At 39.2% G+C, this 19,185-nt stretch overlaps 1 protein-coding gene and 1 long non-coding RNA gene across 23 annotated transcripts in view; one reads left to right on the forward strand and one right to left on the reverse strand.

Moving 5' to 3' along the window:
- LOC105371867 (uncharacterized) overlaps positions 1-10,644 on the forward strand; it is a 34,476-nt gene extending 23,832 nt beyond the window's left edge. Inside the window, exons 3-4 of the long non-coding RNA XR_001752977.3 lie at positions 8,689-8,739; positions 10,565-10,644. This is a non-coding gene — a long non-coding RNA (uncharacterized LOC105371867). The remainder of the gene's footprint in view (positions 1-8,688; positions 8,740-10,564) is intronic.
- Positions 1-19,185, reverse strand: part of CEP112 (centrosomal protein 112) — a 556,597-nt gene that overhangs the window by 267,620 nt on the left and 269,792 nt on the right. The window lies entirely within an intron of this gene.

Raw genomic sequence — 19,185 nt, forward strand, 5'->3', positions numbered from 1 at the left:
AGCCAGCTTCCCCAGTGAACTCCAGGCCACACAGCTGCTAAGAACAGTCACTTGGATTTTTCTTCAGTTTTGGTGGATTTCAGGGGGAAAAACTGCTGTTATCTAGAATATGTTGTGTTATTTTCGGCGTGAGAATCCATCTTCAAAAAAGCTAACAGTAGGAGCCTGCTCCAAATCGATCTTGTTTCGTGCAATGAATCACCAGACTACCTTATCTTAAAGCTATAGCATTCATTTCTCCAGGCATGCACACTGCACTAAATTTCAGAAGTTTTCTTTTTAAATTTGAAATTCTTATCCCTTATGACAAGTCAAGAATCAAAACACAAATGAAATTTGCTTTAAAACATAGGTTTCAAAATGTTTTCTTATTGTGATTAAAGAGTAGCGGGTACCATTCCTTCTGAAACTATTCCAAACAGCGGAAAAAGTGGGACTCCTCCCTAATTCATTTTATGAGGCCAGCATCATCCTGATACCAAAACCTGGCAGAGACACGACAAGAAAAGAAAATTTCAGGCCATTTTCCCTGATGAACATCGATGCAAAAATTCTCAATAAAATACTGGCAAACCGAATCCAGCAGCACATCAAAAAGCTTATCCACCATGATCAAGTCGGCTTCATCCCTGGGATGCAAGGCTGGTTCAACATACGCAAATCAATAAACGTAATACATCACATAAACAGAACCAATCACAAAAAACACATGATTAACTCAATAGATGCAGAAAAGGCCTTTGATAAAATTCAACATCCCTTCATGCTAAAAACTCTCAATAAACTAGGTATTGATGGAATGTATCTCAAAATATTAAGAGCTATTTATGACAAACCCACAGCCAATATCATACTGAATGGGCAAAAGCTGGAAGCATTCCCTTTGAAAACCGGCACAAGACTCTCACCACTCCTATTCAACATAGTATTGGAAGTTCTGGTCAGGGCAATCACGCAAGAGAAACAAATAAAGGGTATTCAAATAGAAAGAGAGAAAGTCAAATTGTCTCTGTTTGCAGATGACATGATTGTATATTTGGAAAACCCCATCGTCTCAGCCCCAAATCTCCTTAAGCTGATAAGCAACTTCAGCAAAGTCTCAGGACACAAAATCAATATGCAAAAATCACAAGCATTCCTGTACACCAATAATAGACAAACAGAGAGCCAAATCATGAGTGAACTCCCATTCACAATTACTACAAAGAGAATAAAATACCTAGGAATCCAACTTACAAGGGATGTGAAAGACCTCTTCAAGGAGAACTACAAACCACTGCTCAAGGAAATCAGACAGGACACAAACAAATGGAAAAACATTCCATGCTCATGGATAAGAAGAATTAATATCGTGAAAATGGCCATGCTGCCCGAAGTAATTTATAGATTCAATGCTATCCCCATCAAGCTACCATTGACTTTCTTCACAGAATTAGAAAAAACTACTTTAAATTTTATATGGAACCAAAAAAGAGTCTGTATAACCAAGATAATCCTAAGCAAAAAGAACAAAGCTGGAGGCATCATGCTACCTGACTTCAAACTATACTATGAGGCTACAGTAACCAGAACAGCAAGGAACTGGTACCAAAACAGATATATAGGCCAATGGAACAGAACAGAGGCATCAGAAATAATGCCACACATCTACAATCATCTGATCTTTGACAAACCTGACAAAAACGAGCAATGGAGAAAGGATTCTCTATTAAATAAATGGTGTTGGGAAAACTGGCTAGCCATATGCAGAAAAATGAAACTGGATCCCTTCCTTACACTTTATACAAAAATTAACTCAAGATGGATTAAAGACTTAAACGTAAGACCTAAACCCATAAAAATCCTAGAAGAAAACCTAGGCAATACCACTCAGGACAGAGGCATGGGCAAAGACTTCATGACTAAAACACCAAAAGCAATGGCAACAAAAGCCAAAATTGACAAATGGGATCTAATTAAACTAAAGAGCTTCTGCACAGCAAAAGAAACTATCATCAGAGTGAACAGACAACATACAGAATGGGAGAAAATTTTTGCAATCTATCTATCTGAGAAAGGGTTAATATCCAGAATCTACAAAGAACTTAGACAAATTTACAAGAAAAAAAACAACCCCATCAAATAGTGGATGAAGGATATGAACAGACACTTCTCAAAAAAAGCCATTTATGCAGACAACAAACATATGGAAAAAAGCTCATCATCACTGGTCATTAGAGAAATGCAAATCAAAACCACAATGAGATAACATCTCATGCCAGTTAGAATGGTGATCATAAAAAGTCAGGAAACAACAGATGCTAGAGAGGATGTGGAGAAACAGGAACACTTTTACACTATTGGTGGGAGTGTAAATTAGTTCAACCACTGTGGAAGACAGTGTGGCAATTCCTCAAGAATCTAGAAACAGAAATACCATTTGACCCACAATCCCATTACTGGGTATATACCCAAAGGATTTTAAATCATTCTACTATAAAGACACATGCATGGCTGGGTACGGTGGCTCATGCCTGTAATCCCAGCACTTTGGGAGGCTGAGGCAGGTGGATCACGAGGTCAGGAGGTCAAGACCATCTTGGCTAACATGGTGAAACCCCATCTCTACTAAAAATAAAAAAACAAAAACAAAAACAAAATTAGCCAGGTGTAGTGGTGGATGCCTGTAGTCCTAGCTACTTGGGAGGCTGACGCGGGAGAATGGCATGAACCCGGGGGGCGGAGCTTGCAGTGAGCCAAGATAGTGCCACTGCACTCCAGCCTGGGCAACAGGGCCAGACTCCGTCTCAAAAAAAAAAAAGAAGACACATGCACACTTATGTTTATTGCAGCACCCTTCACAATAGCAAAGACTTGAAACTCACTCAAATGCCCACCAATGATAGACTAGATAAAGAAAATGTGGCACATTTACACCATACTATGCAGCCATAAAAAATGATGAGTTCATGTCCTTTGCACAGACATGGATGAAGTTGGAAACCATCATTCTCAGCAAGTTAACATAGGAACAGAAAACCAAACACCCCATGTTCTCACTCATAAGTGGGAGCTGAACAATGAGAACACTTGGACACAGGGAGGGGAACATCACACACAGGGGCCTGTCGGGGGGGTAGGGGACTAGGGGAGGGATAGCATTAGGAGAAATACCTAATGTAGGTGACGGGTTGATGGGTGCAGCAAACCACCATGTCACGTGTATACCTATGTAACAAATCTGCAGGTTCTGCACATGGATCCCAGAACTTAAAGTATAATAATAATAATAATAAAGAGTTAGAAAATCAACAATGTATTTCTAACCATAAATGTATTGTTATTTAGAAGAAGAAAAGTATGCAAACTCTTGAACATATACACTTATAACAATAATGTATAAATAATAAGGCAAAATGTATTTTGCATCTCAGAATTGTGATGTGTTATAGTGAATTTATATTTATTTAAAATTTAGGGGTTTTCCCCATATTATTCTACTATTGGCAATATTCAGAAAAAATAGTATAAACATTTTCTCCTAATACATACTATACCGAGTAAGAAAGTTTTCTTTATTTAAAATAAATGTGTATGCTTTGTTCTGTGTCTCACAGAACTATGTTAATCCCAACAAAAGAGAGATTTCATATTGTATTGCTGTTATGACATTTTGCTCAGGAAGCTGAGTGAATGAATGACTGAGATGGAATATTTTTAGTTCTTGGACATGTTATTTCTACTCAGCGTTATACCAACAAGGATCATTATAATAAAATTATAAACTTAAATCAAAATCATTTAAGCATGTAACACACTGAAGGGAAATGGGAGGTAGAAAGTTCTATTGAGATCTTCTTGAAAGCCTCAGAAATATTGGGAGAAGGGATGTGACTTAAAATTGGTTAAAAGCAAAATATTTTACAATATTCTAGAATGAGAAAAGTAACCAAATGAGCTATAATTGGGGCAAAAGAATTGCAGAATTTTCTCCCAACAGAAAACACATGACTAGAACTAGCTGTGAGATCGTTAGTAATGATACCTCCTTGTTCTGTACTCTAGTAGTAATGTACTTTCACAGTAACTTTCTAAACAGAGACATTTGAAGTTTCTTATAGACTCATCAATGATCATGCCCATGTTCAAATTTCACTTTATTCATTTTTAAAAATCAGGAAAAAAAGGAAATAGCGGTTATCACATTTCAAGCATAAACATAAATAGTCATAAATGATTGTTAGTTTGATATTTTGCCAGGGCCTATTGCTCATGATTCTACTTAATGAACAAATCTCAAGGTTGCCAAAGCCTTTTAAATATCATTCACTTTTACCTCTCCTGCTTGAACAGAGAATAAGGAGGATAATTTTCAATTTAAAATGCAATAGCTCAGGCTTGTCTGCTAAGTCCAACACTACATGGCTAACTTCTGGATGTCATGAGCCCTTTCTGGTCTTTTCCTAGGCTTCCGCACCATCAGCATCTTCTAGCAAGGGTGTCTTCTCCAGATAAATGGTAGGGTCCAGAGGAGAAACCCTAATGTTGGGGGAATATCTTGACGATGGTATTCATAACTACAAAGAATGTCATCAAGGTAGATATGTAAATAAAAAGTTTTACTGGTGCCTAGCCCCATCCATGTAAATAAATGTTAAAAGAATCATCTGGACTTTCCATTTGTCCTTTACTTGTGGACACATCTCAAAGGTAAACACAAAGTAGCACATCTTCTTCATGTTGGACTAGTAGATACTTCGGTTGACCAACAATAATGTCTAACGGAGTTAATGATGACCAGGAGGTGGTAAATTATGGACATTGTAGAGGACATAAAAGCAGACAGAACCCACAAAATGAATATTAAATGGTTAATAAGCCTTCTAAGTTAAGGGGTGTGGGGCATCTGGACCCATAATACATGCTACAAGGGAGAACTGGATGCACCATGATCAAGGACCCTGCTTAATTAAGGCTGGCTAAGGAGTTCCCTGTAATAAAAGAGGGAAGGCTTCAAGTTCCATAATCCAAAAGCATTGAGCTATGAGACAGATAACAATACTGGGTATGTGCCCACCCTAAACATATTAAAGAAGACTGGCATGTCTTCCAGGAACACTGGTAGTGTCAGCCCTCATGTGCAAGCACCTGGTGGCATATGATAGTCCTTTGAGAAGCTAGGGTTGACGGCTTGGTGGTTGGGGTTCATTGTCTAGAAAATACTGGGTTGACTCATAGGAAATTGTCATTTTTGAGGTCAAAACAGGAGATGAAAAAGGGACCGGGGCAGTGGCTCACGCCTGTAATCCCAACACTTTGGGAGGCTGAGCCGGGCGGATCATCTGAGGTCAGGAGTTCAAGACCAGCCTGACCAACAAGGAGAAACCCATCTCTACCACAAATACAAAATTAGCCTGGTGTGGTGGTGTATGCACGCAATCCCAGCTACTCAGGAGGCTGAAGCAGAAGAATCGCTTGAACCCGGGAGGTGGAGGTTGCGGTGAGCCAAGATCACGCCATTGCACTCCAGCCTGGGCAACAAGAGTAAAACTCTGTCTCAAAAAAAAAAAGAAAAAGGGTCCTGCTCCACCCACCATGCTACTCCACAACACATGCAGAACTTGAAATTCAAGAGTAAAGTTTTGAAGTTCTGAAGTTCCTAAAAGCATCGGCCTCCATTTCAGAACAGACGAAATCCTTCTACAGCTTGATGATGACGTCTTCATTCCAATTGAACTTTCATGTAAGTGCCTAAGGGCAAGAGCACATTCTAGGTCCCAAGAAAGACCAAGATGGAGCCACTGGACATACAAGTCCCTAGGGATCTTGGGATATATATTTTAAGTCCTGGTAACTGTTTTACAGTGAAATTAGTGCTAGCAAATATGGCCTGAACCACTTTCAATAATCATTTAAAGAAATAGAAAAGGAGATGGAAAAAGTCATTTCTTCTCAATATACAATATGTGGAAGACTAATATACCCCAATAACATAACTTAATGTCAGGAATGCCAGTGCTAGAAACATAAATCATAGAAGGATGTACCACAACACATTGAAAAGGGGAAATGATGGTATAAAATACTAACCAAAATAATCTTGAAGGTAATCAAATTACAAACTTTATATTCTACATAGCCCTGGTGTAAAAACGGGTTATAGCTAGAGAAAGTAGGGAGAGTGGTTCTCCATATTCTCTGGCTAGAAAAGGAGGAAGAGAGGGAGTCACAGTTAGATGCCCTGGGGTTATATTTGTCCTACAACTCAATGATAATTGCTCTCCCTTAAGTGAATAGAAATATGAAAGTTTAAGAATTTGGAAGGACTTAGAGGCTAGCTAATACAATGTTAATCTTAATCTAAAAACCTTCCCTATAAAACCCTGATAGTTGGTCATTCAGCTGCTGCTGGAATGATTTTACCAACAGGAGAATAACCATATTCCAAGAGAAACCAATGCCTCATACTGAACATACTTGGCACTGGAAATTCTGGGTAAAGATAATAGGGAAAACTGAAAATTGTGAAAAGAACAAAAACAAACATTAAATACAGAACATGAGAACATTCACTGGCAGTGAACAAACAAGGAAAGAAGAATAATAACTTGGCCACAAATTTCAAAACAAGGTAGCCAAGGAAAGAAAGAGAAGATTCTGACATGGTTTGGTGAGACATACTCTTTTGTCCCTATACCCTAGAAGTAGAACTGGTAAGTTGAAATTATGCTGAGGATTATTTTCCAGTATCCCAGTTTTAGAGAAAAATGAACTGAAGATGTATCATTCACTTTTCCCCCTTCTGCCTGGGTGGAAGAATAGGAGGACAATTTCAATGGAGTAAAAATGGCTACTAGAGAGAGATGAATCAAGTTAGGAAAGTAGGAAACTTGGACTGATTCTCTCTGATAGAATATAGGAAGGAGTTAGAGTTCACAGAAAAAAGAAAACACTCTCTAATACACAGAAAAACCCCAGTGTAAGACATTAATAAATTGTTAAAAGACAGAGCCAGTATCAGTTTCTCTGACAGAAGTTGTTCAGAACTGCAACTAAGCTCTTTTTCTCCATCCCTATCACGATCTCATAAAAAAGTAAAGGCAATGAAATACCTGTGCCTTCATACTGAAATTCAGAGGAGGACTGACAGGCTGAAAAGTAGTCAAAGAGAATTCATGAATATTATATCAGTCCATTTAACAGATTTGGACACAGGTGCCCACGTTAAGCCCAAGCAAGATGAGGGAGAAAAGTATCTGAAAACTAGAGAAACATTAATTACATTAGGAAAAAGGTGAACTTAGTGACAAAGAAGAGGAAAAGAAGAAAGTAAGGAAGAGGCCCATCATTAAAAACCAAAAACAATTGTAAGAGAACTTAATAAGAACATGAGTGTAATGAAAGAATAATGCAAGGATAACAAGATAAAACAACAGAATTAACCAAGGACCCAAATAACTCCATCACAAAATTGATTCTAAATCAGAAACAATGAGTTGAATAAACATGGTGAAAAATCAAATCATTGACATAGATAAAGGGTTTGAGGTAATCATAATAAAGGTCCAGGAAAAAGACAAAGAGAAGCTAAAGTAGGAAACGTGAAAAGAAAATCCATGTAAACACAGACCGTGGTATCCGAAAATTTCCCTAAAATGAATGAAGAGATAAATGTGTATATCAAAAAGACACACTGTAGACCAAGAAAGATAGATTCCAATTGAGGAAAAGAAACGTGAAAGAAACTCAAGGACTGTAGTCCCCAAACCACTCTTGAAACAAAAAAACACTTGGGGATAAATTTCAAGCAAGAGATGACCAGAGAAGCTGTTTAAGACCAATGTTTGCACCAAAAGGCAATGGATGATGTGTACAAAGTGTCAGGGGAAGAAAGGATGATCAAAAAATTTTATGCCCAGCTAAGGTATCCTTCACAAATAAGAGAACACATAGTGATGCTCAAGCATGCAAAAATACAGTGAATACAACTATAAGCCCTTCTTGGAAAAGCTACTTGATGAAATCTCAGTAGTCAATAATAGATCAAAATAAGAACTCAGGTATGAAGTTGTGCAAAAATCCTGGTGGTGAGCACATAATTGATTTAAATAAAAAGCTAAGTTTATATAACTGTGAGAATTATGGTTATGGAACAAAATATAAATGTTATAAACTTCAACAATGTATAAATAATACTATGGTTGACAAAATAGACTGGTATAAGTAGGTGGAAGGAAATATGGGCAGTTTAATTTTTCTCTAATAAGGAGTTAACTAATGCCCTCAAAATTGAACCACAAAATTTAAAAATTACTCTAACTTCAATGTATTTTTAATTTCTAACATTCTAAAAATAATCTCTTATGTGGTTAAAAAAATGTTTTTCTAAATTTTAGAAATCTTTCCATTTCCACTGGGCACAGTGGCTCACCCCTGTTATCTCAACACTTTGGGAGGCCGAGGTGAGATGATCACTTGAGCCCAGGAGTTCAAGATCAGCCTAGGCAATGTATCAAGACCCTATCTCTATAAAAAATAAATAAAAAAGAAAAAATGAGAGAAATCTTTCCGTTTCCCTTGTTTCTTCAAATAATTTCACATATAATTTAATATTTTAATTAAAAGTGGCAAATGTAGCATGGTCCTGTTTCTAGAAAATTGTTTTTGTCTATATATCTACTTATCCTTCTATTTATCAATCTCTCATAGAAATTTCTGGAATAATGCTCACCTAAGATTAACAGCAGTCGTTTCCGGAAGGTAAGATTTGGGTAAAATTTTTGTTTTCTTCTTTGTGTGCAGGACCATGTCAAATGCCAGTAGCTCCCTTCGGGGGGAATATTTACTTCTGGTGGCAGTACAAGACTCTTAAACAAGGGATGTGGTCTCTCTTAAAACAAACGGGTTCTGGGTCTGCGAACCAACTCAGATCGGGAAACTTGGTAGAGGACTATGATTTTCCACCCTAAGTGGAAAACTGTTTCAGTTTCACTCATCAGTCTTGGACATTTTCTTGATGTTGTACAAGCCAAGTAGTATTCCCACTGGCTCTCTATCTTATCTCTCAGAACACAGCTCATTATCACCACAGATCCCTGCAGGGTAAGACACCTGAAGGGCCTGTCTAGCCTTACTATCCAGTAGAGTAATCGTGTCTACCTTCCATCTATCCAAGTGCCCCATGTAGTGCCTGCCATTCTGGAACCCAACTTTCCTGTTGAAAGGAGGCAGCTCAGTTCCATAGCAGCATCTCCTACTGTCGGCCCCGGAATACAGAGGAAACCACCATGGAGGTGGCTCAGTGCTATCAGTGCCCCTCCCACCAGTGCACCTTAGCACCCTAGTAAAGGCCATATCCTCTAGGCCCTCCCATGCACTGGCTTCTCTGGCCTAAAGCAACAAAACCACTCTCATATTCTCACTTTTCTGATACTTTGACCCTTCCTCCATAGTAAGCCAAGGCAGTTCTGCCATGGCTGAAGTAGCATGGAAGTAAGTGGCAGAAAAACTACTGCCTGGTAAAAATCACAAACAATTATCAACATGCCACATTTTTTAAAAATAAAGATGAAGGACAGTTCAAACATTGTAAACTGTATCCAAAATTATATTGATCATCAAATTAATAGTTCAAGGGGCACATTGCTTTAAAGGATTGGCCATTAATAGACAGATTTTTCTACAGGGCTTGCCAGGTAACACTTTCCTCTCACGTTCTACTCAAGGGCTCTCTGTGGAAAACCTTTGCTTCTAGGTTGTAAAATTTAGCACTAGTTTTATTAGGTTGGTGCAAAAGTAATTGTGGAAGTAATTGTTGTGTTTGCCATTACTTTCAATGGCAAAACCCACAACTACTTTTGCACCAACCTAATATATAGGTCATTAGACTCATGATGTTAAGATGCATACTAAGAAACAGGCAACAGGTACATCAGGCCCTGGTATTTTTCATGCAATGAGATATATATTTAACATCATCAGGTTATGTCTCTGAAAAATTTGCATCTGCAAAATTGCACACTTGAAATGTCAAAATAAGTTACTAAATTTTTTAGAGCTGCAGAAATTTTACGCTAATGGGGCAGTCTACCGCAAAGGTAGTAGTTTCACAGACTGATTTTATATCCTCACTAAAAGATGTTGGAATCTTTCTTTTTAGTCACAGTTATATGATATAAAATGTGCTATTGGATACTTCACTATATGAGAAAAGCTCCCTTAAAGATAAAATAAGGACATATACAATCTTCTCTGAGTCCTTGGAGTCAGAGTAAAGATACATTTTAGCACAGAAAATACTACAATCTGGTCTTACTTTCTGAACACTTTAATAGAAATAGGCACAAAAAAATTGTAAAAAGCAGGCAGTGTGTCAAGAACAGAAATAGAATGTGTCATTTGGGGATGGCCATGTGGCTCCCAGATTAGATGTTTGCTACATCCATGAAATCTGTCAATCAACAGTTCAGTTTACGCATGGAAGTTCTCCTTATTTAAAAGTTTAATGTTGCTGTGATAACCGCTGTTAGAGATGGTACCAGGGCCTGCCAGCATACACTGCTTCTTTATTCCTTTTCCTCTCCAGCCAACCATCAACAGCCAGGACTACTGCCTGCTGAAGCTCCCGAAGCTCATGATACAGGGAGAGCAGAAGGCTGGAAACACAGCTGTGATTAGCAAGCTGATAGATGAAGCAAGGCTGGAAGCAGGCGCTATCTCCTGTGGTTATCTTCCCATTTAACACTTCAAAACACTTCTCCAGCACCTGTAGGTGATGAGTGACAATTATCCTGAGTTTTTAAAACTTTTTGAAAAATGAGCTATTACTTTCTGTGGTTTTATCTGCCAGATCTCAGTTGAAACTCAGGAAGAAGCCAGATAGTCAAATGCTTCAAAAGGGTTTTTTTTTCATGGTTCAATAATGGACAACTCAAGCCACACAAATTGAGAAAATTAACTAAATTTAATTAAGATTAATTAACTAATTAACTAAATTAATGAACTCCATATAGATGGAGTTCAAAATTTTTAGAAAAAAACATGTCTTAACTGCATATTTTAATTCATTTTACTTTATGTGTTTCTCTACAACACATTCAGTTCTCAATGAGATGTCTGTGTCTTAATCTAGTATGTTACTGCTTTTGAATGAACATGAAATATAAAAATCATGTAAGTTTGCCAGCTACAGTTCGTAATTTAGAAGGACAAATAGGTCAACCTGGTTATAAACTCTTCCAATATATAGCACTGTGTCTTTACTTTCTTTTTATTTTCCTTATCTTGCCTACCACAATGCTTCGTAAATTATTCATCATTTTGAATGAAACAAGGTGGCATTCGAAAAACAGAATTACAAGTAGGTGGAAGACAGCTGCTTCATCTTCCCCATCACCAAATTGGCTGGTCCACCTGCAAAGACCCTGCCTTACCTATGGCTTGAACGCATGGCTGGCCTTGCAGCTACCTAAGGCGAGTCCCTTCATCTGTACACTGGATTCCATCCTTTCTTGCCAAATTAAGCATGCTGCTCTTGAAATTATCCCATCACTCTCTGCATCATCAATATTTTCTTCTCTAGTGGATCAGTCTCATCAATAAGCAAACATGTTTTTAGCTTATCTCATTTTAAAAAAACTTTCCTTTGACCACACACGTCCCTCTAGATACCACTCATTTCTCTGCTCCCTTTTCTTTCAAAATTCCTCAAAACGGCTGCTCACAACGCATTGTCTGTCCACCCACATAATTCAGACATTGGTTCCCACATTCTACTGAAACCAGTCTTGTTGAGGTGGCTAAAGACCTCGCCATGCAGCAGTCAGTTCTCAGTCCCCATCTAACTTCCCTTCTTGGCAACACCTGAAACAAGTGGTTACTCACTTCCTCCTTCCTGAAACACTGCACACGGCTTATGGGAAATCCCACCTTCTTAGACCTTCCTTTTACCTCACTGGTTGTTCCTTCTCAGTCTCTTTTGCTGCTTCCTCCACCTCTTCCTCATATGTAAGTGTTGGCAGCCCCTAGACTCAGTCCTGGAAGTTCCTTTCTCTTCTCTCTACTCATGTATCAGTGTCTGTCACCACCATCCACCTGGTTGCTCAGTTGGGAAACTTTTAAGTCACATTTTAGCCCACTCTTTACCTTACATTCTATTTCACAACCATTGACAAGTCCTGCCTGCAAAATAGATCCCAAATCTGACTACTCCCTGTCTCCCCCACCACTCCCACCCTAGTCCCAGCCCGGTAACCTCTAACCAGCCCACTGCAATCATCTCCTAACTAGGTCCCCTGCATCCTCTCCTGCCTCCATCGTAATCAAAGCTCCACACAGCAACTGGAGAGATCTTTCAAAAATGCAAACTAGGCCGGGTGCAGTAGCTCACGCCTGTAATCCCAGCACTTTGGGAGGCTGAGGTGGGTGGATCATGAGGTCAGGAGTTCGAGACCAGCCTGGTCAACATAGTGAAACCCTGTCTCTGCTAAAAATACAATAAAAAATTAGCCAGGCGTGGTGGTGGGTGCCTGTAGTCTCAGTTACTTGGGAGGCTGAGGCAGGAAAATCGCTTGAACCCAGGAGGCGGAGGCTGCAGTGAGCTGAGATCACACCACTGCACTCCAGCCTGGGTGACAGAGTGAGACTCAAACTCAAAAAAAAAAAAAAAAAAAAAGAGAAAAGCAAACCAGATCTTGCTCAAATGCTCCAGTGGCTTCTCAACACACTCAGAATAAAATCCAATCTCCCACCATGGTCCATAGGATGTGACAAAATCTACCCTGTACTGTACTTTGGCTCCTACCACTCTCTTCCAAGTTCACTCCATTCCAGCTACAAACTAACCCATCTCATGGCTGTTGCAACCATCCACCTGGAATGTTCTTTCCTTACCTCAGGTTTTTGTATGGTTTCCTCCTTCACTTCATCCAGGTCTTAATTTGAATATCATTTCAGTAGAGTCCTTCACTAACAATCTTATCTACAATAACACCTTGTATAAAATAATAACCATTTATAAAGTAGCCCTTTCACTCACAAACACTTTAGCTTGCTCTATTTTTCTTCACAACAGTTATCATTACCTCACCCTACCTTAAATTATGTTTTGAAAAAGAGTGTGTGTGTGTGTGTGTGTGTGTGTGTGTGTGTGTGTGTGTATGTGTGGTAGGAGTAGTGGTGGTGGGTAGTGGTAGTGTTTTTCTCTTCCATCACAAGGGTAAAGACTCTATATTTTGTTCACTGTTATATCCCAAGCACTTGGAAGAGTGTTTAGCACATAGTAATTCAATAAACATGTGTGAAATAATGAATGATTGAGAAGGCATTAGTTCCACTTTATATTTTTAATGTACTTAAAGAAGGAATAATGAGTTAGTCCATATCACTATCCAGGAAAACAGCTTCTTTTTTTTTTTTTGAAATGGGTGGGTGGGGTCTTGCTCTGTCACCCAGGCTAGATGGAGTGCAGTGGTGCTATCAAAGCTCACTGTAACCTTGAACTCCCAGGCTCAAACAACCCTCGCACCTTAGCCTCTAAAATAGCTTGGAACACAGGTGCAAGCCACCATGCCAGTCTAATTTTTTTTTTTTAATAGAGATGGGGGCCTCACTACGTTGCCCAGGCTGGTCTCTCACTCCTAGCTCCAAGCAATCCTCCCTCCTGGGCCTCCTGAGTTACTGGAAATACAGGCATAAGCCACTGCACCCAGCCCATCTTTGCTCTTTTAATATTCACTCTAGCTAAAGGTGCCACTTGTTTTAACCTAGATGAGAACAGCTCCAGGCCAAAAGAAAAAAAAAGAGGAAGAGAAGGCTCTTCAATTGCCTTTCACTAAATATCAGCACCCTTTCTATGACTCTAGGCTCCGACCACTGGACCTGGACACAGGGGCCCAGGCTCTATAGCCTCACAGCCTGGGGCTCTGAGTCTGGCAGCCTAATGGCTGGGAATCTGGTACTTTGCCATTGCCTGCAGGACCAATCTGTGACTTGTGGTGTAGCTGCATTCCCTGAATTTGGTGCTTATTCAAAGAAGTAAGTTGAAAGGAAGCATCATTAGATCAAGGATTGCATTTGTCTTGATCACCACTGAGGACCACAGGGGCTGATATGTAGCTGGGGTTCAAAAATGTATTAGGAATTGGAAGAGGAAGGTCAAGCAAAAAAAGACTTTCAAAAAGAGTATGATAAGGTAAGCAAGAATAAAAGAGAGTAAGAGCAGCATACTGGATGTACCATAAATCATACATATCTAGAAATCAATAAGTCATATGGTAATCCATTTGGAAGGGATTTTAGGGAGCCCCACAAATCCATGGTCATTTACCACATTACCTCAATACCGAAGAGAAAGTTTACGAAGTCTTTCTACTTGGATCAGTCTTGCTATCACCCAAATAATTTTAAACAATTCCCACTTTTATTTGCTCTCCTGTCCATGTAATTCCTCCAGTCTCAGCAAATGATTTTGCCGCCTATCTGACAAAGAAAAACCTCAGTAATAAGAATGTCTTCATCTGCCTTTTGCAGATCCACAAACTTCTACACACCTGGCCTTCCCTTCTTTTCTCACGAGGCACAGGAGACAGACCTGGCCATCATCCAAGGCCAGCAGCTCCCCACGTGATGTGGGGAGCTGCCCAGTATCTCCACCTTCTTGGGAACATACACTAGTGAGTGTCTTCCCCTTTCCTCCCTCTCTTCCTTTCCACCATCTCCTTTTCCAGTGTAGACTAAATAGTCTCATTTAAAAGAAACCTGGCTGGGCGCGGTGGCTCACGCCTGTAATCCTAGCACTTTGAGAGGCCAAGGCAGGTGGATTGCCTGAGCTCAGGAGTTCAAGACCAGTCTGGGCAACACGATGAAACCCTGTCTCTACTAAAATACAAGAAAAAATTAGCCAGGCGTGGTGGCGTGTGCCTGTAGTCCCAGCTACTTGGGAGGCTGAGGCAGGAGAATTGCTTGAACCTGGGAGGTGGAGGTTGCAGTGAGCCGAGATTGCGCCACTGCACTCCAGCCTGAGTGACAGAGCAAGACTCTGTCTCAAAAAAAAAAAAAAATTAAAATTAAAATAAAAGAAGCCTAAGCTTGAAGGTTATACCACCTAGCTAAGTAATGACTAGAATATTTGCAAAGGACAAGGATTGGGAATCACGTGCTATCTGCTTTTTAAATATCCCAACTGACCTTCACTTAAAATTTCCTACTTGCTTATCTTGCAGAATTTGTTTTGTCTTTGCTACTGTGTTTGCTAACAAAATATTTTAAGTTTTAAATAATGGCAGCTTGTAAGAAGTTGGCCCTTCAGTGTTTTTTGTTTTTTGTTTTTTTTGTAATCATTGACAATAAGCACTTATTCTTTCTGGAGAAGCTGGCCACTTGTTTATCTGCTGAACTACATTTCTCCTTCAAGGCTTTGTAGTGGAAAGCAAAGATATAAAACACAAGATTAAAGAATGATCTCATGGAGTTGCCAAAGAAATCTCTATAGTCCAGGAAGTCCTAGCATGCCTGGTTGGTTGTTTGTTTCCAACTTGAATGAGGTTTGTGAAAAGACAATTAGAATTGTCTTTTTGTTCCAATGGGTTATACAGGAAAGAAACAGGAAATCTTGATGAAAGCTTGGGCTTTACAGGATATTTGTGTGAGCATTTAGCCCATGTGTTTGATGTTTTTCTTTCCACATCTGCACACTTTATGCCTGGATTTTGGCTAAGATACTTTAAAATACTACTTCGCTGTTTTCACTTCATTACAGTTCCTGGCACGGTGCTTTCTGTAAGAGAGGGGCTCAAAAATTAAAACTGGAGAAGGAAACTGAGGCCCAGAGGCACAAGTCCATTCATTCCCTCTGAATGTCAGTCAGTTCCCTCGTTATAAAATGTGAGGATTAGACCGGATAAGTGCTTTTAAAACTTTTCCACCAAAGTACTCTCAGCAGCAGTGAAAATGAATAGCACCCCCCTGGGGGATCTGAGGGCATAGCCTGAAGCAGCCTCTGCAAGCTGGAAGTTTCTTTGAAATGTCCTATTTTGTCTTCTTCATGAGAACTTTGCATTTTACAAAACAGGAAAGTCTATGTTTGTTTTAATAGGAATGTTACCTCAATAGTAAAACTACGTTGCTTTCCCACAATCGAACTGAGTGGATGCAACACTCCAGGAAGCATGTACGCAGCCTCAGGAACCCCTGGCACTTGCTCACACTCCCCCGGGGATCACCTTACCTGAGTTGGAGAAGCAAGGGCCCAGATGCTCGGCGTCTAAATCCCCTCCTGATGTGAAATGCTATCATCATAACACTGACAATTTTACCTTTTAGAGAAAAGTAAAACAAAATAATAGAAAAATATTCACACTTCCATTTGAATGGCAACTGAGAAAGTAGGCAAGAGTCCTGATACAGGGAAATCCAGCCAGACAGGTACCTAAATGAATGAGTCAGCGGTGGAATCAGAGAAGTCGGTCTGTCAAGAGGGGCTGGGAATCTAATCAGGCAGATGAACAGAAAGTCCCAGAATCTTGGTTTTGGAAGAGACCACTGCAGTAAGACAGCCCCCGGAAGGCACAGTATCCCTCCAGAATACTCCAAAAACACACCGCAACCCACTCACACTGGAAACTTACTTTCTCACAAGAAAAACTGTTGCACATTTGAAGGAGGAGTTCTTTAGAAAAGAACTACCTTGAAACAATTCAAAATATTCCTCATGGTACCATGTATGTATGGGTTCAATTTCTGCCCCCTGGAACTCCGCGGGAGTGCATTTAGAGTGGGGGTCAAGGGCAGGCCTCAGGTTCAGGTTCCGAATCCACCACCTATGAACTCTGTGGGACCCTGGGCCATTTACTCAAATGGATGTACTTCAGTTTCTACAACTAGAAGATGAAAACAATAAACAGTGTAGCTACCTCACAAGATTTCTGTGAGTCAGGTGCAGTGGCTCACGCCTGTAATCCCAGCACTTTGGGAGGCAGAGGCAGGTGGATCACCTGACATCAGGAGTTCGAGACCAACCTAGCCAACATGGTGAAACCCTGTCTCTACTAAAAATACAAAAATTAGCCAGGAGTGGTGGCGTACCACGTGTAATCCCAGCTACTTGGGAGGCTGAGGCAGAAGAATCACTTGAACGTGGGTGGCAGAGGTTGCAGTGAGCCGAGATTGCACCACTGGCACTCCAGCCTGGGTGACAGACCAGGACTCTGTCTAAAAACAAACAAACAAAATATATATATATATATATATATATATATATATATATATATATAATTATAATATATAATATGCATTATACATATATTTTATATATATATATTACTGTGAAGATGGGGAGTGGCTGAATATGTGTAAAGCAAGCAGAGTAGTGCCTGGTCCAGGGTAGATCCTAATAACTGTGGGCTTTTAGGATTTTTATCACACAGACCAAGCCCAGTACTCCCTGAAATTCAGACCTTAAATTTACAAACAGAGAGATATGCAATCCTCCCTTTAAATATTCCCCTCTGACATAGTTCCAGACCTTTCTACACTCTGAAAACTCTTCTCTGAACATGTTCGAGTTTGTCAGTGGCCTGCTTAAAATGTGGTGACCAAAATCGACCTATTCCTTATGTGACCTGAAATGTAAACAATAGCTGGGACCATATCTGCCAGCCCTCTTGTCCCCTGTGTCCCAGGCACCACACTCCCCTTATCTCTGAGGCTTTCTGTCTTCCTTCTACTTTTGCAACTGATTTTCTAAACCAAACCATGGCATTTTATATTCAACCTCAATAAATGTAATCTTCTTAATTCCAGCCAGCTTAAAGCTGCAGAAAACTCATTTTTTTTAATCCTACATATTAACTATTCCTCAGAACTCTAAGCATTGGGAAACTTTAAACTTTTTTTTTTTAATCCCTTATCATCCTCGACTGACTGAGAGACACAGAAATCTCACTTTAGGTTAACACTAATCATTCAGAGATGGCCCTTTGAACTATCACTTAACCACATAAAGGTACCAATATTCAAACCATATTTCCCCATACTGCCTTCATGTAGGCACCGTCAGACGGCTCCACGAAAGCCAGATATATTACATCTACTCCTATTTCCTTATCTACCAGCCTGGCTGCCCTGTTCAAAGAAGGAAATGAGCTTAGTTTAATCGGCTTCATTCTTAGTGTACTCATGCTGGCTTGTAGAGCTCACTACTGTATGCCTATCGTTTGTCATGATAAACTTCCACAGGAAAAAATCCTAACAATTTGGAGTGGTCAGGGGAAACACTGTTACAGTTAACAGAATATTCTGCTGAAAAAAAAAAGCTAACTAAAAAAGTTTGTATATTGTCACATCAATAAATATTCTCCTAAAATGTACTAGCTCATACTCCTGCCTTCATCTTTCCTTAGTGAACTACCACCTGGGATCTTCATTCTCAGCATTGATTCTAATGTATAGACCTCTAGATATAGAAAGAATAAAAACAGGTGAAATCTGCACCCACCTGAGGTACGCTTGTGTGTGTTTTTACATTCCTGTTATATACTACATTTGTATCATCTCTTTTCATGAAAAAAAGAAAGAAAAATGGATGCAATGGTGTATGGCTTCCATTAATAGTATCAATTCTTTAAAGAATTTATCGGTATCCCTTATTGTGTTAGTATTATTTTTGATCAATACAAAGACAAAACTTTGATAGATTTTAAAATCTATCATTCTGAGAAAAGCCTTTGAAGTTTACATGCTTCCAGACAAATTTATATATTTTTTTTACATTAAAAAAGTGAAACTGTCACAATGTGGATAATAGGGGGTATAGAAAAAAAGAATTCACCATGATTCCATCCTCTAAAAAATAACTAGGATTTTTGAGATTAAGGATAATTGGGTCAGAGGGTGTAAGCGTTTTTCATGACTCTTGGTAGAATCTGCCAAAATCCTTTCCAAAAAGCCTGTAATGCCACTAGCATGTATAAAAGTACCAATTTCACTAAACTTTTACCGACTTTAGATGGCACATCATGGTTAATTCTAATTTGCATTTTTATTAACACCAAGAGTAACGATGTTTCTACATGGCTGTTCACTTAATTCATTTCTTATCTCTCTCTTTCCTTTGCCAGGTCACTTATTGGGACATTAATGATTTTCTTATGGTTTATGCTAATTACTATATTTAATCTGCTAATTATTTTTATATATTATACATTTATT

This window comes from Homo sapiens, chromosome 17 (genome assembly GCF_000001405.40).
Source record: "Homo sapiens chromosome 17, GRCh38.p14 Primary Assembly".
Lineage (NCBI taxonomy): Eukaryota > Metazoa > Chordata > Mammalia > Primates > Hominidae > Homo > Homo sapiens.